At 39.8% G+C, this 25,085-nt stretch overlaps 1 protein-coding gene and 1 pseudogene across 5 annotated transcripts in view, besides 2 other annotated features; one reads left to right on the top strand and one right to left on the bottom strand.

Annotated features, from left to right (window-relative positions):
- The window catches only part of TNKS2 (tankyrase 2), a 67,050-nt gene extending 42,037 nt beyond the window's left edge, over positions 1 to 25,013 (bottom strand). For 2 of the 5 annotated variants that reach the window (XM_011540213.2, XM_017016701.2), the window contains exons 1-7: positions 24,487 to 25,013; positions 10,232 to 10,456; positions 6,210 to 6,305; positions 4,133 to 4,169; positions 3,882 to 3,957; positions 3,406 to 3,500; positions 1,077 to 1,143 (exon numbers count right to left, since the gene is read on the bottom strand). In XM_011540213.2, coding sequence (XP_011538515.1) covers positions 1,077 to 1,143; positions 3,406 to 3,500; positions 3,882 to 3,957; positions 4,133 to 4,169; positions 6,210 to 6,305; positions 10,232 to 10,456; positions 24,487 to 24,748 — 858 coding nt within the window. In that variant the 5' untranslated portion in view covers positions 24,749 to 25,013. Of the gene's footprint in view, positions 1 to 1,076; positions 1,144 to 3,405; positions 3,501 to 3,881; positions 3,958 to 4,132; positions 4,170 to 6,209; positions 6,322 to 10,231; positions 10,457 to 24,486 lie in introns of those variants that run through there. The other 3 variants (NM_025235.4, XM_047425795.1, XM_017016699.2) reach the window with 2 other exon arrangements.
- Positions 2,612 to 3,113: an enhancer, noted in NCBI's record as "NANOG hESC enhancer chr10:93580083-93580584 (GRCh37/hg19 assembly coordinates)". NCBI's record gives its function as "activates a minimal SCP1, AML or CMV promoter by ChIP-STARR-seq in naive H9 embryonic stem cells {active_cell/tissue: H9 hESC(naive)}" and the evidence as "EXISTENCE:reporter gene assay evidence [ECO:0000049][PMID:30033119]".
- SRP9P1 (signal recognition particle 9 pseudogene 1) lies at positions 15,906 to 17,375 on the top strand (annotated as a pseudogene).
- Positions 24,645 to 25,054: a silencer, noted in NCBI's record as "silent region_2609". NCBI's record gives its function as "represses an Ori minimal core promoter by ATAC-STARR-seq in GM12878 lymphoblastoid cells {active_cell/tissue: GM12878}" and the evidence as "EXISTENCE:reporter gene assay evidence [ECO:0000049][PMID:35858748]".

The following is a 25,085-nucleotide window of genomic DNA, read 5'->3' as shown; positions in this document are numbered from 1 at the left end:
GGAGAATCGCTTGAACCCAGGAGGCGGAGCTTGCAGTGAGCCGAGATTGCGCCACTGCACTCCAGCCTGGGCGACAGAGCGAGACTCCGTCTCAAAAAAAAAAAAAAAAAAAAAAAAACCAAAAAACCAAAAAAACAACAAAAAAAGTTTCTTGCTAGTCTTGGGAACCTGTTTGTTAAACAGCTGTTGAGCATACTGGAAGAAGTGAACCTTACCAAATCGGCCAGCTCCAACTCGAAGTACAACTGGCAAATCTTGCTATTATATCTGGTGGTTTTAACAAAATATGATTCACTAAAAACTGCTTCTTAGAGTTTTGAAACTTCACCTTTAGCTATAAATTATGGAATCACTTTATCTGCTATTCTACATTATTTTTTTTTTTTTTGAGACAAGGTCTCACTCTTGCCTGCGCTGGAGTGCAGTGGTGCAATCTTGGCTCACTGTAACCTCCATCTCCAGGGTTCAAACGATTCTCCTGCCACAGCCTCCTGAGTAGATGGGATTTCAGATGATGCGTCACAAGATGATGTGTAGCAAGATGACAGTGCTACTTTATATTTAAAAACATATGGTATCCAGGCTGGGCATGGTGGCTCATGGCTGTAATCCCAGCACTTTGGGAGGCCGAGGCAGGTGGATCACTTGAGGTCAGGAGTTCAAGACCAGCCTGGCCAACATGGTGAAACTCCATCTCTAACAAAACTTAGCTGGGCGTGATGGCGCCTGTCTGAAATCCCATCTACTCAGGAGGCTGTGGCAGGAGAATCCTTTGAACCCTGGAGGTGGAGGGTGCAGTGAGCCAAGATTGCACCACTGCACTCCGGCCTGGGCAAGAGTGAGACCTTGTCTCAAAAAAACAAAACAAAACAAAACAAAACATATGGTATCTCAAAAATCTCAAAGCAGTCAAATGCTGAGCTATCAGTCACCTATATTTTATAATGCTTATAAATACTTCTACTTTTTTAAGCACTAAGAACACAGAAAATAAAAAGAAACCCAGACATACTAATGTATTTCAAGTTATTTTATATAACTCTAGAAAGTAATTAGGAGAGTACAAGAGCACTAACCTTGACCAAAAGTTCAGTTACTTCATAATGACCATAAGAACAGGCATTGTGTAATGGTACCAGATCACTACAATGAGAAGGGGGGGAAAATCCTGTTTCAGTATAGATTTCTTAGGCCTAGGGAAATTTATAAATTAAAATTTATTTAATTACTTATACTTAAATAGCAAATGGATTATGTGATGTTCTAATAAAAATGTTCAAAATTTAGTAACATCCATTTGAACCCTAAGTCCTAAGAATTTGAACTCCCAAGTCTCTTTCAAATCCATGTTCCTTTATACTTCACTGCTACTGCCACTGCCTTAGTTTGGGTCTATGTTATTTCTCCCCTGCATTATTGAAATAGCTCCCACCCCACTTTATGCTCCAAGCTGAGGCAGATTTTTCTAAAAGGTAAGTCTAAAAGGCAGATTTTTCTAAAAGGTAAGTTTCACCATTAACTCTGTGCTTTCAAGAGATGGTTCCAACTTATTAACGTGGCACACGCAATTATCTGGCTCCCTCTCTAGGCTTACCCTTCAATAATGGTATATTAAACTTATAATTCCCTGTATGCCTCTACACATACTGTTCCCTGGGTATAGATTTCCCTCCCTCCTTTGTTCTGGCTCATTTCTACATGTCTTTTCCAGACTTAGCTCAAATACTGGCTCATTTTTAAAACTTTTTTGAGATCCTTAATAAGCTGAAACCCAATTCTTCCATGATGGGAATGGAGGAAGAACTTTCTCTATGGGAAGATACGGTGAAACTTTAAAATCTTGACTTCTATCTTGAAGCTTTTCCTTCTCGTTTGGGATCACTCACTAATATGCTGCCATAGCCACCATCATGCCAAACTCTGGTAAGGGATGGTCACCTGTGATTTAGTCTTTAGTTCTATGAGTCCTCTCTTTAAAGGTTCATGGCTTTCCTTACTATTTTTGAATATATGATTCTTCACTTGCCTGAGCACCAATTTTGTTCCTAACTACCTACTAGATGCTACCACTATGTTCCTGTATCACCCCATTAAACTGAGAGTTCTAGGCCAGGCGTGGTGGCTCATGCCTGTAATCTGAGCACTTTGGGAGGCCGAGCCAGGTGATCACCTGAGGTCAGGAGTTTGAGCCTGGCCAACACGGCAAAACCTTGTCTCTACTAAAAATATGAAAATTAGCCAGGCGTGGTGGTGTGCACCTGTAATCCCAGCTACTCAGAAGCCTGAGGCAGGAGAATCACTTGAACCCGGGAGGTGGAGGTTGCAGTGAACCACGATCGCGCCACTGCACTCCAGCCTGGGCGACAGAGCAAGACTCCGTCTAAAAAAAATAAAATAAAATAAAAAATACAACAAACAAATAAAAAAACTAAGAGTTCTAGAAGTCAATTCAACATTTTCCCTCCAAACAATTTTGCCTCCTGTATTTCGTATGTGTATCACTGGATCTAACTCATTCAGAACTTGAAATGTAGTTTTCCTTTTATTCCTCGCTCATTGTATCCATTCAACAAATCTTACCCATTCTTACACTGCAATATCTCTTGCATCTATGCCTTCATTTTCATTTCTTCTGCCACCATTATTATGGATCCTGATTATGCTTAAACCTCTAGAATGCTCACTTTCCTAATTGCTGCTTTTGCTTCTAGTCTCCTCTCTCTCCAATTTAGCCAACACATTGCTTTCAAACGCACCTCCTAAAACTTCTTTTAGAATAATCATCCCCTTTGTTTCAGATCACAGGGTGAACTTTGAATTACTTAGGCTAAATACCCAGTCCTCCAAAACCTGGTTCTTACCTATTTCTCTAATCCTAAACTTCATTTGTCTCCTGTGTGAATCATCTGCTCCAGCAAAGCTAGTCTAGTCACTGTTTTTTAAATGTGCTTTAACGTTTGCTGTAGCAGCCCCCACTTATCCCAATTGTCTTACAGACTAATGTCCCGCAAACTCTGCTTTCTTGAATTGAGACTTGACTTTACAGTCCAGGTCAAGTCACACCTCATTCTGAGGGATTTCCCAACCACTCCAGTCAACCATCACTGAGAGTTCCTTCCTGGGAACTCCTGCAGTGCTATCCCTCTCTATGACTCAACACTTGGTAGAGACCTCATTGTATTCTTAGGTATCTTTTCATGCCCTCTGAAGTGTAATGTAAACCTTCTATGAGCTGTGGGCTTAAGGTTTTATAATTTCCTGCGCCCTCAGAGCAACCTGTACATTGTAAAAGCTCAATATATATTAATGTTATTTAGTAAAAAATATTATTTTTCTAAGGTTACAAAGATTGTTTTAAGAAGAGGGTAACATTTAAAAAGTCCTTGTTTTTGTTCAAATGCTTACCCTTTATCTTTAGCATGGACATCAGCTCCATGTTGCAGTAACAGCTGTACAATCTTTACTCTGTTATATCCTGCTGCCAAATGTAATGGAGTTGACTGAAATATTAATCAAATATATTAATGAAATTCAAATAATGGTTGAATAAAATGTGTGAGAGGGAAAAAACCCAAATATAAAACCAGAAAATCCAATTATAACTTCGCTAAGTAGTTATCAATTTGGTTTTACAAAATCCAACATACATATTGAAGGCATAGTATACAAGTTTATAAATTCACTATTGCATATAGGAAGCAAATAACTGTTTATCATCAATAAAGTTTTACTAGGCTTAAGAATTTGAAATACTGAAAATACTGAAACACTTAAAACATCAGCACTCTCTTCAAATATGTTTCAATTTATCATAAGATAAACACATCTTTATCTTCATGTTACCAGGAGATAAGCACAAACTCAGTTGCAAAAGGAAGTACCTTTCTGCCATCACTTGCGTGGCAGTTGACATTTAATGGTGTGAGTAGAGCCATCATTTTTTCTTCATTGCCACTCCTAGAATACAAAAAAAGTATTAGTAATTTGCATTCTTCATCAGATGTTCCTCAAGATAAGTACTGTAACCATTAAAAAAAAATTCTTTTTAAAGTTTGCTTACTGTAAAAAAAAAAAAAAAGAAAAAGTTAATGGTGAAGTATTCCTGTCACATATTTATAACATTAGTACGTACCTGGCACTTTCTAAGAGTTCATCTTTCTTATATTCACCTGTGAATTAGAAAAAAAAAAAAGTATAGAAATTAAAAAGAAAAATTAATGAGTTTTATGCAAAAAGATGCCCAATGAATTATAAAGTAGATAAATTTGGAAACAAATTTCCAATAAATGGAAAATAGTTCATTAACAGAATATTGTGTAGTTTAAAAATATTTGCATGAAGAGCAAACATGAAATACCTTTGCTATGGGATTAAAAAAAAAGATTCTATTTTATATAATGAAAGGCAACCTCAACTATATAAAATCAATATGCTCAGGAAAAGGAAAGCCCAAAAGAAAATATACCAAAATATTAACAAAGTTTATCTTGGGTCATAGGTTATTGGTGACCTTTCCCTTTTTCCCTTCAAATTTCCTAAAATGAGTATGTTATTTTTATAACAGAGAAACAAAATGTATCTACAACTTTGTTCCAAACCTAAAAATGTCCGGGTGTATTGGCTCATGTCTGTAATCCCAGCACTTTGGGAGGCTGAGGTGGGTGGATCGCTTGAGCCCAAGAGTTAGAGACTAGCCTGGGGAACATGGTGAAACCCTCTCTCTACAAAAAATACAAAAATTGGCTGGGTGTGGTGAGGCACGCCTGCAATCCCAGCTACTTAGGAGACTGAGGTTGGAGGATCACCTGAGCCTGGATAGGTTGAGGCTGCAGTAAGCTGTGACTGTGCCACTGCACTCCAGCCTGGGCGACAGAGTGAGGCCTTGATACACACACATGCACACACATACACACCCCAAAAGCAAACTCCTAAACAAAACAAACAAAACTCAATATACCAACATTATAGAAATGACAAAAGAATCTATAGCATCACTGATTAAACATAATCATTAACATCTTTATGAACCTAGATTTTTTGACACTAATATCATGTTTATTTAATGCTACTTTAAATATATACAAATATAAAAAAGGATTAACTATGAACTCTTTTATTTCTTTTCTTTATTAAAGGCTTTACTTTTACAAATGAATACAAACAAAACTATAAAACCAACAAAATTTAAATTAATATGATTTGCTGAATGACATCCAAACCCACAATGTGAACTGCATACTGACTGCCAAGGCAATGCTTCTTTTGAGGCCCAAGATTTAAAAAACAAAAATAAAAGCATGGAATAACATGGACTAGTGAAGGAGAAAATGAACACTGATTGATAGTCACAATAACAGTGCACACTTCTAGAAGTCTTTTCATGAAGAAGTCTTCTCATGAAGAAGTCTAAATTTTCTCAGCAATGGTAGAAGAAATATCACAAAATCCAGGCACAAAGCTCACAGCAAAGCCCCTTTGGCTCTTGACTTTAGATTAGGTATGATTCTAGTCATCACAAGGTAGGTAAGAATCTGGTAAACAACATGGCTGAGTTGCTAAGAGGAAAGCACATTAACAAGGGAGATAATATGTGAAGTGGATACAACTCAGGAAAGCTTGTCAATCTAAACTATAGCCTTATGCATAGCAATAGGTTCCAAGGACATAAATATGTTACAGCAGAGTACAACTAGCATGGTACTGAAATGAGTGTGCCTAGAATCCTCTTCTGAAAAGTTAACGGAATGGCCAGTGTTTTTTGAAAGCATTCCATCAAAATTAAAATACATTAAAAAAAATAGTACAGCTTGAATATCCCTTATCTGAAATGCTTAAGACCAGAAGTGTTTTGAAGTTTGGGTTAGAAATACTCAACCTGCATGTAAAGGGCAGGCATAAGTTATCTGAAAAACTCAGGGGTATTTAAAAAATGTCCTGAATATACTAAAGCAACATACAATTATCTATCACCCTCACCCCCAATAAGGCAACAATGACATACTTAAACAGCAATTAGAAAATAAAAAGAAAGCTTTATTTTTCTTAGAGGAGAATAAAATGTCAGCTATCTAGACGTAGAAAAGGATAGCTACTGAACTGACACTATTTTAAAAATCTAGCTGAAGTCATTAATCATAGGAGGCAAATTTCCTACCTGGCAAGGTTGTTCTTTACAGGCTTCCTGGAATAACCAGAGTATACAGACTTACCAGTAAGCACTGCTTTGGCAGATGGATCTGCTAAATCCAATGCTGTCCTTCCATCTGTATTTCGGATGGTTGGCTCAGCTCCATGCTGTAACAGCACTGCAAAATAGCAACACTATTTTGAAGTTCAATGGTAATCTTAACAACTTGATTTTAGTAAATCATTTTCTCAAGAAGTCTGGTCCAGCAAAGTCTCAAAGTTGTTTAAAGACCTTTCATATCTTGTCAGAATGGGAATGTTACATTTTAAATATAAAAATAATACATAAAGTATTCTATTACTTAATGCATTAAAGACACATTAAATAAGTTCCCCCTCAGTTCAATGCAGATTTTCCTTTGCTATTTATATAGCTGGTGACAAGTGACTAAGGATAGATAAGAGTGTGTAAGGGAAAAGGCAAGTGTGCTTAAAAGCTTGTTTTCTCATTCCAAAAGAACACTGCTTATGCTAGAAAGACTGTTCATCATGACAGAAATAAAATGTCTAAAGCTATAGATAGCCTGGGAACAGAGATATGTAGGATTTTTAAGAAAAAAAAAAAAGAAAATCACACAGGTAAATTCTTTTTTAAAAAACACAAAAAACTGAATAGCTTCCTTATGCTTTCAATAAATTCTGTAAGGTCATCAGTCATTATCTTTCTATTCTTCAGGAAAGCTGAATAATTAACAGGAGCCTGCTTGTATTTGTCCACTATTGATACCATAATACAATGCACTTGTAAGGTGCAAGGTAAAGAGTCTAAGGAGTGGAGTAGGTACATTGAAACCGAGGTGCAAATTACTCCTTACAAGGACAATTTTTCTTTGGAAAAATCTTAACTGAGGGATATATAAATAAGGGTTGCTAGCTGAGTAGTTAGGTTTTTCAGGTTAATTACACGGAATTTTAAGTTAAAATCCAAATACCCTTAGTAGGGCCAACCTACCCCAAATCAAAACTACTACATTATAATTCAAGGCACATAAAAAGGGAAGTCTTGGCTGGGTGTGGTGGCTCACGCCTGTAATCTCAGCACTTTGGGAGGCCGAGGCGGGCAGATCATGAGGTCAGGAGATCGAGACCATCCTGGCTAACATGGTGAAACCCCCTCTCTACTAAAAATACAAAAAACTAGCTGGGCATGGTGGCGGGCGCCTGTAGTCCTAGCTACTCGAGAGGCTGAGGCAGTAGAATGGCGTGAACCCGGGAGGCGGAGCTTGCAGTGAGCGGAGATCACGCCACTGCACTCCAGCCTAGGCGACAGTGCAAGACTCCGTCTCAAAAAAAAAAAAAAAAAAGAGAAAGTCTTGTGTTTTGCTCTGTGCTGTATTATTATTTGTATTATTATGAAGCTATTCCAGTATACTCTCTAAATAAGGAGCTGGAGGAAGACAGGCAAATATGTGCAGAAAGGAAGCTCAGCTCCTGTTCTTTGATAGGGTGAATTTCCATTCTGCTCTACTCCTATATATACCAGTGCTGTTCAACAGAAATAAAATGTGAGCCACATAAATAATTTAACATTTTCTAGTAACTACATGAAAAAAAGAAACAGTTCAAATTAATTTGAACAGATTTCACCTAATACATCCAAAAATTCAATATTTACATTTATATTATAATCAATATAAAATTAGATATTTTACATTTTTTTTTGTACTAAGTCTCTGAAATGTGGCATGCTTTTTCCCCTTAGAGTACCTCTCAATTCAGACATTGCAAGCCCTTAGCTACCATATTGGATAGTGCAGATTATAACTGGAAAACTCTACATTATTAAAACTAATTAATTATATGTCTAAGATTCTGAGGTACCAGAGTTGGGTTATGTGGTAAAAATGATGTATTTGAATGTAGGGCAGGAACAATTTAAGACAACATACAGAAAAGGAGAATTGGGCAGAGGTAACTAGGAAATCCATTTCACATCTTTATAAATGACCTCATTTCAACTAAGCTGGTGAAGTTGACATAAATAGTGATTTGGGATGCTGGGGACCATGAGGTCCAACTTAAGTCTAGCATAGAACACCTGGACTTTCTCTAGTGCACTGAACTGGCTTTCTATCTGTTAAGGATTTCAACTGTCCCTGTTTTACATCAGGAAATAATGGAGTTAAGGTGGCAATGAGTCCAAAATCCTTGAATCTGTCTCACAAAAGTAAATACCAGGTTAATACAAATTCTCAAAAAGCCTTCTCACATACTGTATATTTTTCTTACTTATCCTGCCATTTCTCTCCTATAACCCTATAATTCAGTAGCATCATTTCTCACCTGGGTTACTTTACAGTTTCCTAACTGGTATCCTTGATGCCATCCATCCTACCCAGTCCCCTACCAGATTACTCTTCATAAAATACAGTCATGTGTCACTTAATGACAGGGATATACTCTGAGAAATGCATTGGTAGGTGAGTCCGTCATTGTGCCAACACCAGAGTATGCTTACACAAACCTAGCTGGTACAGTCTACCAAACACCTAGGCTACATGGTATAGCCTACTCCTCCTAGGCTACAAACCTGAACAGCATGTTACTGTACCGAATACTGCAGGCAACTGTAATACAATGGTAAGTACATCTGTAACTAAGTATGTCTAAATATAGTATAAAAGATAAGAAATGGTATATCTGTATAGGACATTTACCATGAATGGAGCTTGCAGGATTGGAAGTTTCCCTGAGTGAGTCAGTGAGTGAGTGATGAGTGAATGTGAAGGCCTAGTATATTATAATACATTACTGTAGACTCTACATAAACACTGCACACTTAGCTATGTAAGTTTATTTTTAAAATATTTTTCTTTCTTCAATAATTAACTTTAGCTTACTGTAACCTTTTCACATTAGAAATTTTTAAATTTTTAAAGGCTTTTTGACTTTTGTAATAACAGCTTAAAACACAAACACTATGTACAGCTATACAAAAATATTTTATGTCTTTATTCTATAAGCTTTTCTCTATTCAAAAAAATTTTTTTTTACAACTTTTCTGTTAAAAACTAAGATATAGACACACATATTAGCTAGGCCTACATAGGCTCAAGATCATCAATATCACTGTCTTCCACCTCCATATCTTCTCCCACTGGAAGGTCTTTAGGGGCAATAACATACAGGGAGCTGTCATCTCCTATAATAATGTCTTCTTCTGGAACACGTCCTAAAGAACCTGCCTGAGGCTGTTTTACAGTTAACTTTTTTTTTTAATTGCTGAGTATACTCTAAAATCACAATAAAAAGTATAGTAAATATATAAACCAGTAACAAAGTTGGTTATTATCAAGTATCATGTAGTGTACATAATTTTATATGCTATACGTTTATATGACTGGCAGTACACTAGGTTAACCCAGCATCACCATAAACACCTGAGTAATGCCTCGTGCTATGAAGTTAGGACTGCTACAAAGTCAGTAGGTGACAGGAATTTTTCAGCTCCATTATCATCTTATGGACCACCCTTATGTATGTCATCCATTTTGAAATGGAGTTACGTGGAGCATGACTGCATACTATGTACTCTTATCACAGTGTTCCCTTCCTCAAAAAATATTAAATATTCTACACTGCCTGCACGTACTAATATTAAGCTCCTTAACCTGGTATTTAAAGCTTTTTATAGAGAAATCCCCACCTACCTTTTTAACCCTTTCCCCACTGGAAAGACTTTCCCTTTCTCACGGAAAGACTCCAGGAAGTAGGGCCTTGACTTGATCCTGCCAAGTCACTGTGCTCATTATCCTCTTAACACTCTCTGTTCCCTTCCACCATGCCTTTATCTGGCTCTTTGTATATTTTCTCTCCCAAGAGAATGCAAGTATAATAGGCACTTTGTAGTCCATTCTCCAAAGAAATTTAGGCTCAGTACTACACACAAAAAGACACTCAGTAAATAGTAGTTAGATTAAATCATGGGATGTTCTTAAATATTTAAATTCAGCTTGACATAATTTGATGATATGAACAGATTAATTCAGTTCAGATTCAGAATAGTTACAACATTAGTAAAAGTCGGAAAAGTAAACAGTCTTACCAATGCAAACATCAATCTTTCCTTTAATTGCAGCTTCATGGAGAGGAGTATAATTCCAATTATCTCGAGCATTGGGGTCTGCACCATGTCGCAAAAGGAGATTGACTACTTCAGCATGACCAAAAGAGCATGCATTATGAAGAGGAATAAGGCCCCCATCATCACGTGCTTGGACATTTGCACCATTCTGAAGCAAATATTCAACTACGTCTTTCCGCCCAAAACCTAGATGAAAACAAATTGTCCACACGTAAGTTCAACAAGGAAAAGATATCAAATTAGATAAGTACCATCCATACTAAAATGTTTCAGGTTGAAAATTAATAACAGACTCAACAATTCAAGAACTAATTAATGGAAAGGTGATCAGAAATATATCAATAACTAACCTTAATGATAAAGCCAGAGGGACTCTCCACTAAGCAGCAGTGGTACCTAAGCAGTGCCTTGGGTGGTACTACTACTGCTAACCTCAAAGAAAGAATACAAAATAAGTGACTGAAAGCTCAAAGTTCAAATGTTTCTCACTCTACAATAGAGTTCTGCGTATTTAGTATGTATACATTTTCAGATGTTCAAAGTATAAAACTTAAATATGTAAATCACAACCTTATGATACAGTGACAAAACTCTTGCTAGAATTCCTTTCCCACATCTATCTCACAGAATGTTTCTGCTAAACTGGGGGACTACAAGAAGCAACAAAAAAAGATCTGCTCACAGCTAATATTTGTCTATGTAGTGAGACACAGAGAGATAACCCCAGGCAAAAGTATGAAATCCAGTGTCTTCAAAGGAGTCCCTACTTTGCCACTTGCAAAACGCATATATAACTTCTTTCCATGTAGGAGGCCTCCTTTAGGTACCAACATTCCACAGTTCTGCTCAACTGCCCCCAAATCAAATAAAACAAAAAAAGTCTGGTAATTTATTTATACTGGTTTACAGATCTAGCACCAATGAGTTTCAATCTCTTATCATTCCCATATATTAGTACTTAAAACCTTTTTACACCTAGCTTTGAAATGATAAGGCTTTCAGGCATATGTTAAAGCAGATGGAGTGGTCTACAATGTGTTTGGGTAGAGAGAAAGGAACTGCTCACTCTTCTGAAATTTTCTCCGTTCTATTCTTTTTTTTTTTTTTTTTGAGACGGAGTGTCGCTCTGTCGCCCAGGCTGGAGTGCGTGGCACGATCTCGGCTCACTGCAAGCTCCGCCTCCCGGGTTCATGCCATTCTCCTGCCTCAGCCTCCAGAGTAGCTGGGACTACAGGCACCCGCCACCATGCTTGGCTAATTTTTTGTATTTTTTAGTAGAGATGGGATTTCACCATGTTAGCCAGGATGGTCTCGATCTCCTGACCTCATGATCCACCCGCCTTGGTCTCCCAAAGTGCTGGGATTACAGGCGTGAGCCACTGCGCCCAGCCCTCCATTCTATTCTTAAAGCCACCAAGTCTGACTGTAGTTCTTCCAAGATGACCAGCAATGAGAACAGATAAGAAAGTAATGGTACAGTCTTTCTAAGGTCGATGCCTGGGGTTGGCCTGGTTGCAGCTGATGGAAGAGCTAAAGATAGTTGAAAAGATTAACTGTTTTTGTTTTGTTTTAACATTGCTGGGCTCTGTGGTCACAAAGATGAGTATCTTTGTATCTTTGATTCTTCCTCCTCTCAAAGAGCTCATAATTTAAGATATGAAGATTTTAAATTTCAATACAATATAATTGCTATGTATATATAAAGTGCTACTAGAGCTCAAAGAAGGGAACTCCTAAACTAGGGGAAAGCAGAGAACGGAAAAGACTTACCTAAGGCAATTCCAGTGATGACACCTGAGCTGAAAGCATACAGAAAAATAAGGGATGATTAGGAAAATGAGGAGGGAGAGGTGAGGGAAAGGAGATGAGCAAGGAAGGGTCCTGCAGTCCAAGCAGAAGAAACAAAACGTACACAGACATGGAGGTATGAAAGAATAAATGCTTGGGCTGGGCGCAGTGGCTCACGCCAGTAATCCCAGCACTTTGGGAGGCCCAGGTGGGCAGATCACGAGGTCAGGAGTTCGAGACCAGCCTGGCCAGCATGGTGAAACCCAGTCTCTACTAAAAATACAAAAAATTAGCTGGGCGTGGTGGCGCGTGCCTGTAATCCCAGCTACATGGGAAGCTGAGACAGAATTGCTTGAACCCGGCAGGTATAGGTTGCAGTGAGCCGAGATCACGTCACTGCACTCCAGCCTGGGGGTGACAGAGTGAGACTCCATCTCAAAAAAAAAAAAAAAAAAAAAAAGAAAAGAAAAGAGAGAAAGAAAAGAAAAAAGAAAAGAATAAACAAATGCTCCATAACAGCCAGGACACAGAATGCCAAAGTGGGCAGATGCTAGATCAGGAGTATGTCAGGCTGGCTGGGTGCGGTGGCTCATGCCTGTAATCCCAGCACTTTGGGAGGCCGAGGCGGGTGGATCACGAGGTCAGGAGATTGAGACCATCCTGGCTGACATGGTGAAACCCTGTCTCTACTAAAAATACAAAAAAAAAAAATTAGCTGGGCGTTGTGGCAGGTGCCTGTAGTCCCAGCTACTTGGGTGGTTGAGGCAGGAGAATGGCATGAACCTGGGAGGCAGAGCTTGCACTGAGCCAAGACCGGGCCACTGCACTCCAGCCTGGGAGACAGAGTGAGACTCCGTCTCAAAAAAACAAAACAAAACAAAACAACAACAATGAAAGGAGTATGTTAGGCTAAGGCAGCACCTGGCCTTTGTCCCATAAATTAGTGTTTTTCAAACTGTTTTCAGATAGCAGGGTTTTTTTTGTTGTTGTTGTTTTGTTTTTTGAGACAGAGTCTCACTCTGTCACCCAGGCTGGAGTGCAATGGCGTGATCTCGGCTCACTGCAACCTCTGCCTCCCAGGCTTAAGCGATTCTCCTGCCTTAGCTTCCTGAGTAGCTGGGACTACAGGTGTGCACCACCATGCCTGGCTAATTTTTTTGTATTTTTAGTAGACATGGGGTATTGCCATGTTGGCCAGGCTGGTCTCGAACTTCTGACCTCAAGTAATCCTCAGCCTCCCAAAGTGTGGGGATTACAGGCACAAGCCACCGCACTGGGCCCAGTCAGATTTCAATTAGATCTTATTTAAGATTATAATAAGTGCAGGTCATGTTTACTGCTAAATACCCAATGCCTAGTACATAGTTGGCATTCATAGAACTGCAAATTAATTGAATAAAATAAAAACTATTCTGGTTGAATCCTCCTTCTTCCCCTCACAAAGACCCAAAAGAAAATATTCCTGTATCCCTGAGCACCTCTTAGAAACAGTTTGAAAAATACTGCTACAACACATCATTAGTTACAGAATGATGTGTTTAGGGCAGTGACTATTTGCCTTTTTTTTTCTTTAAAGAAAGATCACCTTGGCAATTGCGTGAATAAATGAATCAAATGCAGAGACAGGCAGTAGATAGGTCCTTAAGGTTTTAGAATGCTATGTGCCATAGTCTAGGTGACAGATGATAAGGGCTAAGATTTTTTTTTTTTTTTTTGAGACAGAGTCCCGCTGTTTAGCCCAGGCCGGATTGCAGTGGCGCAATCTCGGCTCACTGCAAGCTCCGCCTCCCAGGTTCACGCCATTCTCCTGCCTCAGCCTCCCGAGTAGCTGGGACTACAGGCGCCCGCCACCACGCCCAGCTAATTTTTTGTATTTTTAGTAGAGACGGGGTTTCACCGTGTTAGCCAAGATGGTCTCGATCTCCTGACCTTGTGATCCGCCCGCCTCGGCCTCCCAAAGTGCTGGGATTACAGGCGTGAGCCACCGCGCCCAGCCCAGATGATAAGGGCTAAGATTAAGACTGATTTGGTTAGGATAGTATACCCACATGGTTCATGTGAACACCATAGGTAATACTCACATGGCTGGTGAAGCCTTCCTCCCACCCCTATTCCCAGCTTCCCAGTTCCCTTCCTTCTGGTTACCACTTTTTTTCACATACGTTGAAGTTATTTTATATACATGCAAGCAAACATCTGCTAATATATATCTTTAAAGATAGTGTTTACATCTTCCTTTCTTAAAAAACATCTATTATTAATAATATCCCAGAAATCAACTCCTATCAGTATTTTATATATTTTCTTGATTGGGAGTATCAAAATGTAACTAGTTCCATTCTCATACATAGTTAGGTTGTTTCCAATCTTACTACTATACACACTACTGCCAAGGTTTTTGGCCTCAGTAATGGAAGAGTGAAGTTGCCATCAACAGCAATGGGGGCAAGGCTGCAGATGAAAATAGGTTTGTGGCAGAAGATGAAGAGTCCAAGTTTTAGACATGTCATATCTCACTGAGGGCTTATTGCTTCCTCTACCTAATTTCTAAATATTGGGATTCCTCAAGACTCAGTTCTCTAACCTCTTTTTAGATAATCTTATCTGATCCCATGGCTTTAAATACCACCTAGATACACAACCCTCAGATTTAAATCTCCAGTCTACACTTTTCACCCAAATTCCAGAATGTTTGCTTAACATATTTCCTTCTGGATATTTTAAAGGTATCTCAAACTCAACACGTTTCCAACTTCTATTTCCACTGACATTACCTTACTCCAACCACTATCACCTCCAGCATAAGCTCCTGCAATGTCTCCCCTAAATAGGTCTCTCATTTCCACTTGTCTCTAGTGACCTTTTAAAAATAATAATATCACAGCCCTGTTTAAAATAATTCCTTGGCTTCCCACTGATGCTCTCAGAATAAAATTCAAACACTCTACTATGGCCTTAAAAGCTCCTTCATGAACTGGCCCTCAACTTCTTCTCTAATTTCATTTCACACGATTCTTCCCTTTCCCAACTATAATATACTTTCAGTTTGTCAAGTATGTCAGCGACTTGGTACATGCCACCCTTCTGCTTGGAATGCTCTTCCCTTGCACAAAGCATCCTCACTTCTACTCATTACCTGGTTTGTTTAAATGTCACCTCCTTAAGAAGGCTATCCCTGACCATCCCATCTAAAATAGTCCCTTCTGCCCATCCACATTTTTTCCTATCTTCACACCATTTAGTTGGTCTATCTCCCACCTCCTTCACTAGAATGCAAGCTCCATACAACAGGGATTTTTGTCTTTGCTGTTCATAGCAGTATTTGTCACTTATTAAAATTTGTAATTACTGCCTTATTTTCTAGACTCTTTTTTTTTTTTTTTTTGAGACAGAGTCTCGCTCTGTCCCCCAGGCTGAAGTGCAGTGGCCCAATCTCAGCTCACTGCAAGCTCTGCCTCCCGGGTTCATGCCATTCTCCTGCTTCAGCCTCCAGAGTAGCTGGGGCTACAGGTGCCCGCCACCACGCCTGGCTAATTTTTTTTGTATTTTTAGTAAAGGGGGGGTTTCACCATGTTAGCCAGGATGGTCTCGATCTCCTGACCTCGTGAGCCGCTCGCCTCGGCCTCCCGAAGTGCTGGGATTACAGGCATGAGCCACTGCGCCCGGCATTTTCTAGACTCTTAGTTCCATGAAGGACAAGAGCCATGTGCATCTTAATTCATCACTACTTCCCCAGCATCCTTTAGAGTACATGGTACAGAGCAATTTGTTGACATTTGCTGAATTAAGGTATCACAGTATATGAAAAGGAGTCTGAGAAGTAAAGCTAAGAAAGAATGGCATTGCAGGACTCGCGTCGGTTGGCGACTCCCGGACGTAGGTAGTTTGTTGGGCCGGGTTCTGAGGCCTTGCTTCTCTTTACTTTTCCACTCTAGGCCACGATGCCGCAGTACCAGACCTGGGAGGAGTTCAGCCGCGCTGCCGAGAAGCTTTACCTCGCTGACCCTATGAAGGCACGTGTGGTTCTCAAATATAGGCATTCTGATGGGAACTTGTGTGTTAAAGTAACAGATGATTTAGTTTGTTTGGTGTATAAAACAGACCAAGCTCAAGATGTAAAGAAGATTGAGAAATTCCACAGTCAACTAATGCGACTTATGGTAGCCAAGGAAGCCCGCAATGTTACCATGGAAACTGAGTGAATGGTTTGAAATGAAGACTTTGTCGTGTACTTAGGAAGTAAATATCTTTTGAATTAGAGAAAGTGTTGGGACAGAAAGTACTTTATGTAACTAAGTGGACTGTTCAGAAGCTTAGAGGTCATTTTTTGTAATTTTCTTTTTAATGTTTACTTTAGAGAGCTAGGGATGCAAATGTTTTCAGTTAGAAAGCCTTTATTTACTTTTGGAAACTGAACAAGAAATGCATCTGTCTTAGAAACTGGAGATTATTTGATGTTAGGTAAAACATGTAATTGTTTCTCTGGCAAATTTGTATCAGTAATTTGAAAATGAGATATTAGGAAAAACCAATTCTTCTTAAATTTAGTTCATCTTTCCTTAAAAGAACATTAAATGTAACCATTTTGTCAGATCCATGTATTTTGGAGCATAAAATGTATGCTGTTGTGACCAATAAATATAAAATATGGTAATTGGAATTAACCCCACACCATAGTATGCATTGTTATACATACTGTGTACCTAATTATGTATAGCAGTGTAGTCTCAATTATATCTAAAAGTAATTGTGACTAACAAGTATGCTTTGCCTTATTTCCACATTTAAAGTACCTGTTAATATAAGGGATTTGTAGTATCAGCTTGTTGAGCAATGACTTTGAATCTAGTTTTCAGTGATCAGAAGCAGCATTTATTTGAGTGTATGAATGGAATGATGATCACTGTGCTATAATGTACTGAAACCACCATATTACAGAAATATTTACTACATATTTTCCATCTGTAGTTTCTCAGAAGGGCTATGGATTAGTTTGAACTGTCAAATCCTTGCATACTTCTGTGACACCCCTGCCCATTTTCTGTCTTTAATTAACCAAGGTGTTAGGTGTTACTGTCACAACTGTTATGTTTTCCAGTAAACTAGAAGTACGATATTTGATAATTATATTTGTATCCTAAATTTCACCACCTAAATGTAATGTTGATTCCTCAAGAATGAAATGAAGGCACTACATTGAAATATGTTTTGTATAAATTTGTCATGTTGAACAACATTTTAGCATGGTAAGTTCCCTTAGCTATATGAATTTTGGCATGTTTCAGAGAGATCAGTAAATAAAATATTAGATAAAATATAAAAAAAAAAAAAAAAAAAAGAGAAAGAATGGCATTGCAGAAGCCAAGTAGGAAAATGTCAGAGGGGAAGGTCAGCTCTTGCTGTCATTAGCCCTGACTTCAGCCTTCCTTCCTGATCACTTCCTGGGCATTGCTGATCACACTGTCCTCCCCAAGTAGGTTATCTACAGTTGCCCTAATCTATGGTTCTGCTATCCCAACCACTTAGCACCCACCTGCAGGAAGTGCTTTTAGAAAAAGGCTTCTTAAATTGGAGAGTAAGAGAAAAAGAATCAAAATAAAGAAAAACCTGTAAAGCTACCTCTATAAAGTTATTTGATGTACCCAAGCATTTTAGAATAAGGATTACTATTCTTCAGCAGTAATAAGCATATCTGAAGTAATCAAAATGGTGACTCACAGGTTAACTCCCCCAGAAAGGAGAGTTAGATGTGCACAGAAATAGCTGGAGTAAAATAACTAGCTGTTATGAGAGACAGTGTCAACTGGGAAGATATCTGTCCCAAAGGATTGGTGATCTAAAGGAAGGTCAAGTAGTAGCCTTCTGTCAAAATAAGGCTGGAAAGAGAAGAGGGTTGCATGAAATCAGAGTTAAAGAGAAAGACATAACTGAAACTGAAGTTTTAGCTGAGGCGATCGATATGGGTAGAATGGGTAAAGTGATTATATCCACATAGTTACCAACATTCCAAGACACAGACTTCTGTGTCAATGTCTGTATCAACATGATTCCCTAGTCATTAAGATGTCTGAAACCAGTCTGGTGACTGATAGTAGAGGTATGATTTTACAGTCACACTGTAAGGACTACAATATGTGAGTGAATGTAATCTGCTATGCTGAGACAGTAGATTAATAGTCTGAGATTTTAATGTTTGAAGCCACATCTTGGGCACTTAAAGGAAATTATTTGGAGGCAGTCAATAGGTAGCTATGTTTAAAAAAAAAAAAAAAAGTTGCTTGGAGTTTGGCGAAATCTTTAGATTGAAGATACTTCCTGGCTGGGCACTGTGGCTCACACCTGTAATCCCAGCACTTTGGGAGACAGAGGTGGGTGGATCACCTGAGGTCAGGAATTCGAGACCACCATAGCCAACATGGTGAAACCCTGTTTCTACTAAAAATATAAAAATTAGCCAGGCGTGGTGGTACATACCTGTAATCCCAGCTACTCGGGAGGCTGAAGCAGGAGGCAGGAGAATTGCTTGAACCTGGGAGGTGGAGGTTGAAGTGAGCCAAGATCGCACCACTGCACTCCAGCCTGGGCGACAAGAGTGAAACTCTGTGCCTCACCCCCACAACCCCCAAAAAACCATACTTCCCAAACTGAGGAGTAATCCTTGATAAAATCTCTATTGTTATGGTCTCAAGAATAGTTCAAAGTACTTCTGTTAAGCACCAATTTCTGGAAGAAAAAATGCTCTGCAGGGTATATTCTGATCATGTTCTCACTGGCCAGGTAGAACATGAATAGGCATATCATCAGAGTCAATGTAAATCTCCATATTCTAAGGATCTCTTTATGAGGAACCAGAAGCCTAAATAAAGTTGGTAGTCATGGCTGCTCAGGACACACTGTAGTTTATTTTGTAATTATGGAACAGCACTCAACTTCAAACACTGTTCTACTTGTGAAAATTCTGATGAAACCATACACAGAGTATGAATCTACTATATAGTACTTACAGTGAAGCAAAGCAGGCCTATCTGTAAAGTATACTTGTTGACCACATTAACCATGTGTCAGTTAATGGCAGGTATTGTGTCCTGTTCATTTCAGTTTACTCAGGGACAAGGTCAGTGTCTGGCATATAGCAGGACTTGACAAACATTTGTTTAATGCATGTCTAATACTCTGCTGGAATAGGAAAGGATCCTCACAAAGAATATGGTGTTAATGATTTGTGAAAACAGAGAAAAGCAGCCTCTTGTCAAATTTATTACTTATCTAGATGCCATCAGTTTCAGCAACTCCAGGTACTGCTTGCTAACTATGACTATTGTTAATAATATCACATTTTGCTGCTACACTGGAAACATGCTTTCATCTGAATGGTTTCCCAAAAGCTGTGAGGCAGTCAAGTTCCTACAGAGAAACCAACTTAGACTCTTAGGAAGTTTAACTAAATGCTATCCCCCTCCTGTCTTTCATAGTCCAAAGGTGGGATTAATCACTGATAACACAATTGGTCCCATATGAGATGGTGATGTCTTGCAATATCTAAAGGTAGGCTATCACACAGGGTTTTGTCCAAAGGCAAAGTTCTGGAAAAATGTCAACAAATGCCACAAAACAAAGCTCCTGTAGTCTGGGAGATTGGAAGGTATAATCAAACAGCCTTCAGCTTTCAAGCAACCTTTAGCCAGGACTCTCAGTGACACATTTTTTCTGAGGAATGTCATTTTAAACTTCTCATTTACTATTTTGTGTTACAAGGTTTCCCTCTGTTGCCCAGCCTAGAGTGCAATGGCGCAATCTCGGCTCACTGCAGCCTTGGCTCAAGTAATCCTCTAACCTTAGCCTCCCAAGTAGCTAGGACTACAGGCCTGCACCACCATGCCTGGCTACTTTTTCTATTTTTTTGTAGAGATGGGGTTTCGCCATGTTGCCCAGGCTGCTCTTGAACTCTTAAGCTCAAGTGATACTCCTGTCTTTGCCTCCCAGAGTGTCAGTTCTGTGCCACCATGCCCGGCTCATTTTTCTATTTTCTTGTAGAGATGAGGTGTCACCATTGTTGCCCAGGCTGGTCTTGAACTCTTGAGTTCAGGTGATACTCCTGCCTTTGCCTCCCAGAGTGCTGGGATTATAGCCTGTGGCACTGTGCCCGGGCCTCATTTACTATTAACTTTAGTTTGCTAAGATCCAGAAAATTATTTCCCACATATACTTCTTAAGAACGAAGAATACAAGGGAGAGGACTTTGCCCATCTCAACTTGGGATAGACATACTGTCTGGCCAGATTAGTAGAAACTTGGAAAAGAACGCCATGGCCTCTACGGTGATGAAATTTTGACCATCTGAATGGGGGTACACTGAAAGGAGTACTCCAAACTCTTGTTATTGAAGTCAACTGTCTACCTCCAAATCCAGCAAGCGCTGAGGGCAAAGGTATAGCTCAAAGTCTTGATAATACATTGGGAGATTTGATAAGTCAAGAAAGATGATGAATTCCTAAATAGACTGATCTTTATTTGACACTAGGGTTTCCTGCTGATGTATGATTTATCTCCCATAGCAAAAACCAATCCTGAAAACAACAATCTATAACTGTAGTTCTAGGTGAAGAGTGTTGGATAAATTTTGTGCATCTCTTGTAACTATGATGTTGGCCTACAGCCAAAGAAGAAAATGTTACTGAGAGGTTATTGGAGGTCTCCAATGGTTATCATTTTGGGAAAAGATATGAATGGCAATCACAAAAGCTAGTATATCTTTGGTAGCTGAGCAGCTAAAGCCTTCAATTGGAGGAATCATCCCACTTTCTTGTACTAGTGAGATTATAACCTGTTGGTCGAACTAGGCTGAAATCCTCTCTACAACATCTCTGAAAAATGCCAATCCAGCCACTGCTTGGATACTTCCAGACAGTTCGATCGCTGAATATTGTTAAAGGTTGTCTGACCCCTTGTAACCTTCCACCTGCTGGCCTTAGTTTTGACTCCCAAAGCCACACAAGTAATATCCACTCACTCTTTGTGATTCTTCCACATATGTGAAGACGATAACATGGTATAGTCTTCTTTCATCTCTAGAATAAGCAGCACTAATTTTCGTATCTATGCTTGTGCAATAAATTCTGGATGCTCTGATTCCACTTTCCTCCTCTGAATAAAAAAATCCCCTCTTATATTTGATTCACACAATTGAATATAATAATCCAAGTCCGGTCTAACTGGTCCTATGTATGTGGTTCAGTAGCATACTCATACTAACAGTAACATAACATACTATAAATATAAAATAAGTGTTACCTTGTTTAGCTAGGACTCTACAATGCAAGCTCCTACCCCTACTCCAAGAGTTCTAAGATTGTAAGGAATGCCACATATTTCTTTCATTTCTATGATGGGCATCAAGATAACTTTCTCCCCAAGTTTGTGTCACCTCTTCTTTACTTTTTAGAAATAAGTTCACAGAAGCAGAGTCTTCTTTACTGAAATTTGCTGTTTTCTAGGGCATTAACTGTCAAGAATTTCAGATACTTTTGCTTTTAGTAAAATTAGAGCAACAGCCACCCTACCACCAACTTGCCTCTACAAATTCTGTTGTGTTGGAAAAAAATCATTCCTGGCCGGGCGCAGTGGCTCACGCCTGTAATCCCAGCACTTTGGGAGGCCGAGGCAGGCGGATCACGAGATCAGGAGTTTGAGACCAGCCTGACCAACATGTTGAAACCCTGTCTCTACTAAAAATACAAAAATTTGCCGGGCGTGGCAGTGCGCACCTGTAATCCCAGCTACTTAGGAGGCTGAGACAGGAGAATCGGTCGAACCCGGAAGGTGGGGGTTGCAGTGAGCTGAGATCGTGACGCTGCACTCCAGCCTGGGAGACAGAACTAGACTCCATCTCAAAAAAAAAAAGAAAAATTCCTGTCTTGTGTATATCTGCGTATGGTCGGGGGCAGTGGCAGGCGGACTGAAAAGGAAACAATTTACAGAGTCATTTTTCTCCTAAGGAATTACTTCTTAAATAATATTTATCTAGAAGAAAAGTATGCAATCTAGTTCAGTAATAAAAAAACACCTAGTAGAAGGAAAATTCCTGTTTATGTTGACTATCTTCTTCATTAACAGAATTTAACTCTCTTGGTGCTAGCAACGGATTATTCTTTTAATTGAACTAACTTTTGGGGATGAAATTAAAGCAAATGTTTTCTAAACTAATTTTCATTTTCTGTGGTCTGCACGAATCTCTCAGTCCTAATATTACTTGGGAATCAAAACAAAAAGACAAAAACATGCCTCCCCCAGTAAAATCTCCAAACTTTAATCAGCTAAAAAAATTTTAAAATAATGATGTCCCCCATCACCTCCAATAGCTCACTCTATGACTGAAGTACAAACACAAGAAACTGCTTGATCAGGCAGTTACATAATACCACCACCTGTGTTGAACTTCCAACAGTATGCTTGCAGGCACATTAACATGACTGATAACTCACTACCTACAACAGATTATAAAGTATATTCTCCATATATTAAGTGAAAAGGTAGCTGGATGCACTTAAAAAGCTTCTCTCTGATGAACCTAAAATTCAGATTAAATTTACAAACCCAATTTTTAAAAAAGTTTCTTATATGATTGAAGTGCAGGACTTCAAAAGCTCTGGTTGAATGAAGAACCCCCACTTCATAATTTTTATTACTCCCTTTTTATACCTTTAACTCTTAATCTGATAACCTATACCTGATAATTTGGGTAAGTTGTGAGGGGTGGGTTGGTTTCCAAAATATTAAGTCTTCCAAACTTGAACAAAATGAAACCTATGTAAAAAATATGCTTTGAAACGTTGGGACAGAACTGAAGGTGGGAAGGCAGAGAAGGAACAAGGTCACTGAGGATCTAATAACATAATCTTACACCTCTAAATATTACTATTTTCAGATATGAACTCACTAATACACCAAATTCTTGAAAGGTAGCAACTAAGATCTTTCTTGGTTATTTTTATCCCACAGATCAAGTGAACAGAATCTAAGTAACCCTACCCTTTGGCTTATGTATCAGTTGATCGTGACAGTTTGCCAAATGAGTTGTTTAAATGTTGACTACATGGTCAAACAGGACAACCTAAATTAGCTGAAGAACGGCAGCACTTACCACCGAAATTTCGGGCAAAAAGGCTAACTAGGTGTGTTTGACTTAAGTATTCTTCCTTCTCTTTCCATTGCCCACAAACCGTTTCTAGTTCTCCCACCTAGGTTCCCTAAACTTTCTTCTTTTTAAAAGACTCCCCAATGGAAATCCAACAAAGGTGCAATTGATCAAAAAAGCATACCTCCTGGTAGTATTTACATTTAAAATCTGGAACAGGTTAAAGCGAACAAATCTCCAATTGGTAGAAAGTGTAAAAGTAATATCTGTGAAAGAGGAAATATTTCTCACTGCTCCTTTTCTCTTCATCAATCTAGCCCCAAAAGAACAGGAGTACTTTAAAAGGTATTCCCCGATTTTTCAAAAAATTGTTTTAAACAATCATGAAATACACAAAACAAAAAACCAGGATTGTCAGAGGTAAGAGGAGGTACTCCCATTTTCAATCACGCATGACTCACCTGAAGTTAGAAACAGTCATCATCTTTCCTACAAGTGAACAGCATGCATGCTTTATGGGAATAAGCTGAATATCCCATCTATGGCTCTTTTAAATTTTTCGACTAAATTTAATATGCTTAAATCATAAAGTGAACCTAATAAATATTAAAATAATGTAATTCAAACGATCTAAATTTCAGAATGAAGCAAGGTTAGTCCCAACTTAAATTCTAGATTCAAGCTAAAGTACTTGCACTATCTTTTCTCTTATACTACCACTTTCCGCCCAACTTGTATGTGTGTGTGTCTAAGGCTTCCCGCACCCAGCCTAAGTCAGGTTTCAGTTCTCCCAAACTTGCCTATTTCCCGTTCTAGTCACTCCAGAAACTTGGTAATGATTGGCTATTCTGATAAACCAATTAACGCTAATGTGTCAACGTCCTATTAAGCTACTCCTCCTAAATTACATCCTTGTATTTTACAAAGTCCTTCAAGACCTTAACCCAAATGGAACTTGCAAGAACGAAAAATTTTGGAGGTAACTGACCTTTTAAATCATAAGGTCTATCAACTACGTCCCCTACTCTTTCTTGTGTGTAGAGGCCTTCTAGGGTAACAAGACCGGAAGTTGGTACAGGTATTGTTGATACTGTAAAACAAAACAAAGCCAAAACCCCAAACCACCCCCAACACCTGGCAAAAAAACCAAACCAAGACAAAACAAAAAACTTCCAGCGAGTGTGGCACGCTCACCCTACCCCTAATCTCCTTAGTCCCCACTGGAAGAGAGCGAGATCACCAGGACCAGAGTCCTGGAGAAAGGTCGGGAGGCGGAGGAGCACTGGTTTCAGACCTGTGGGCCCCGGCTGCGCAGGTGGGGTCTGGAGCGAGGCGAGGGGACGCTGGCCCCGGTTACCTGCGGCGAAGTGCAGCGGGGTGGATTTCCTGCCCGCCGTGTCGCGGCTGTTCACCTTCTCAGGCGTCACCAGCCTCTTGACTCGTTCCACGTCCCCGTTGCGGCACGCCTCGAACAGCTCTCGGGCGGCCGGCTCCACGGCCTCGGCCGCGGCGCTCGCGCAGGCCGCTCCCCCGCCGGCGCAGCGGCGACCCGACATGATCCTGGCCGCCGCCACAGCCAGCAACAGCGCCAGCAACCGGAGCAGGAGCCCCGGCCCCGCGAGCAGGAGGGCGAGGCCCCCCGGAGAAGACGCGCTCAGGGCCCGGGCCGCTTGGCTCCCTGCTGTCACCGGATCCGGCGCAGTCCCATGGCCGCGCCCACGCGCGCCCCTCGCTGGGCTCCCTGCCCCCCGGCTGCCCCGCGGCGGCGGAGGCAGCGCGAATCCGCCGTCCGGGTCCTGAAACGACGCGGCGGCGGAAGCTGGCAAGGCCCCTCCTGCCAGCTCCGTCCAGCCCCGGGAGCGCACGTGACGTCGTCCCGCGCGTGCGCAGTGG

This window comes from Homo sapiens, chromosome 10, assembly GCF_000001405.40.
Source record: "Homo sapiens chromosome 10, GRCh38.p14 Primary Assembly".
Classification (NCBI taxonomy): Eukaryota; Metazoa; Chordata; class Mammalia; order Primates; family Hominidae; genus Homo; species Homo sapiens.
Note: the sequence above shows the minus strand (reverse complement) of the source record. Positions and strands in the feature narration are given on the sequence as shown.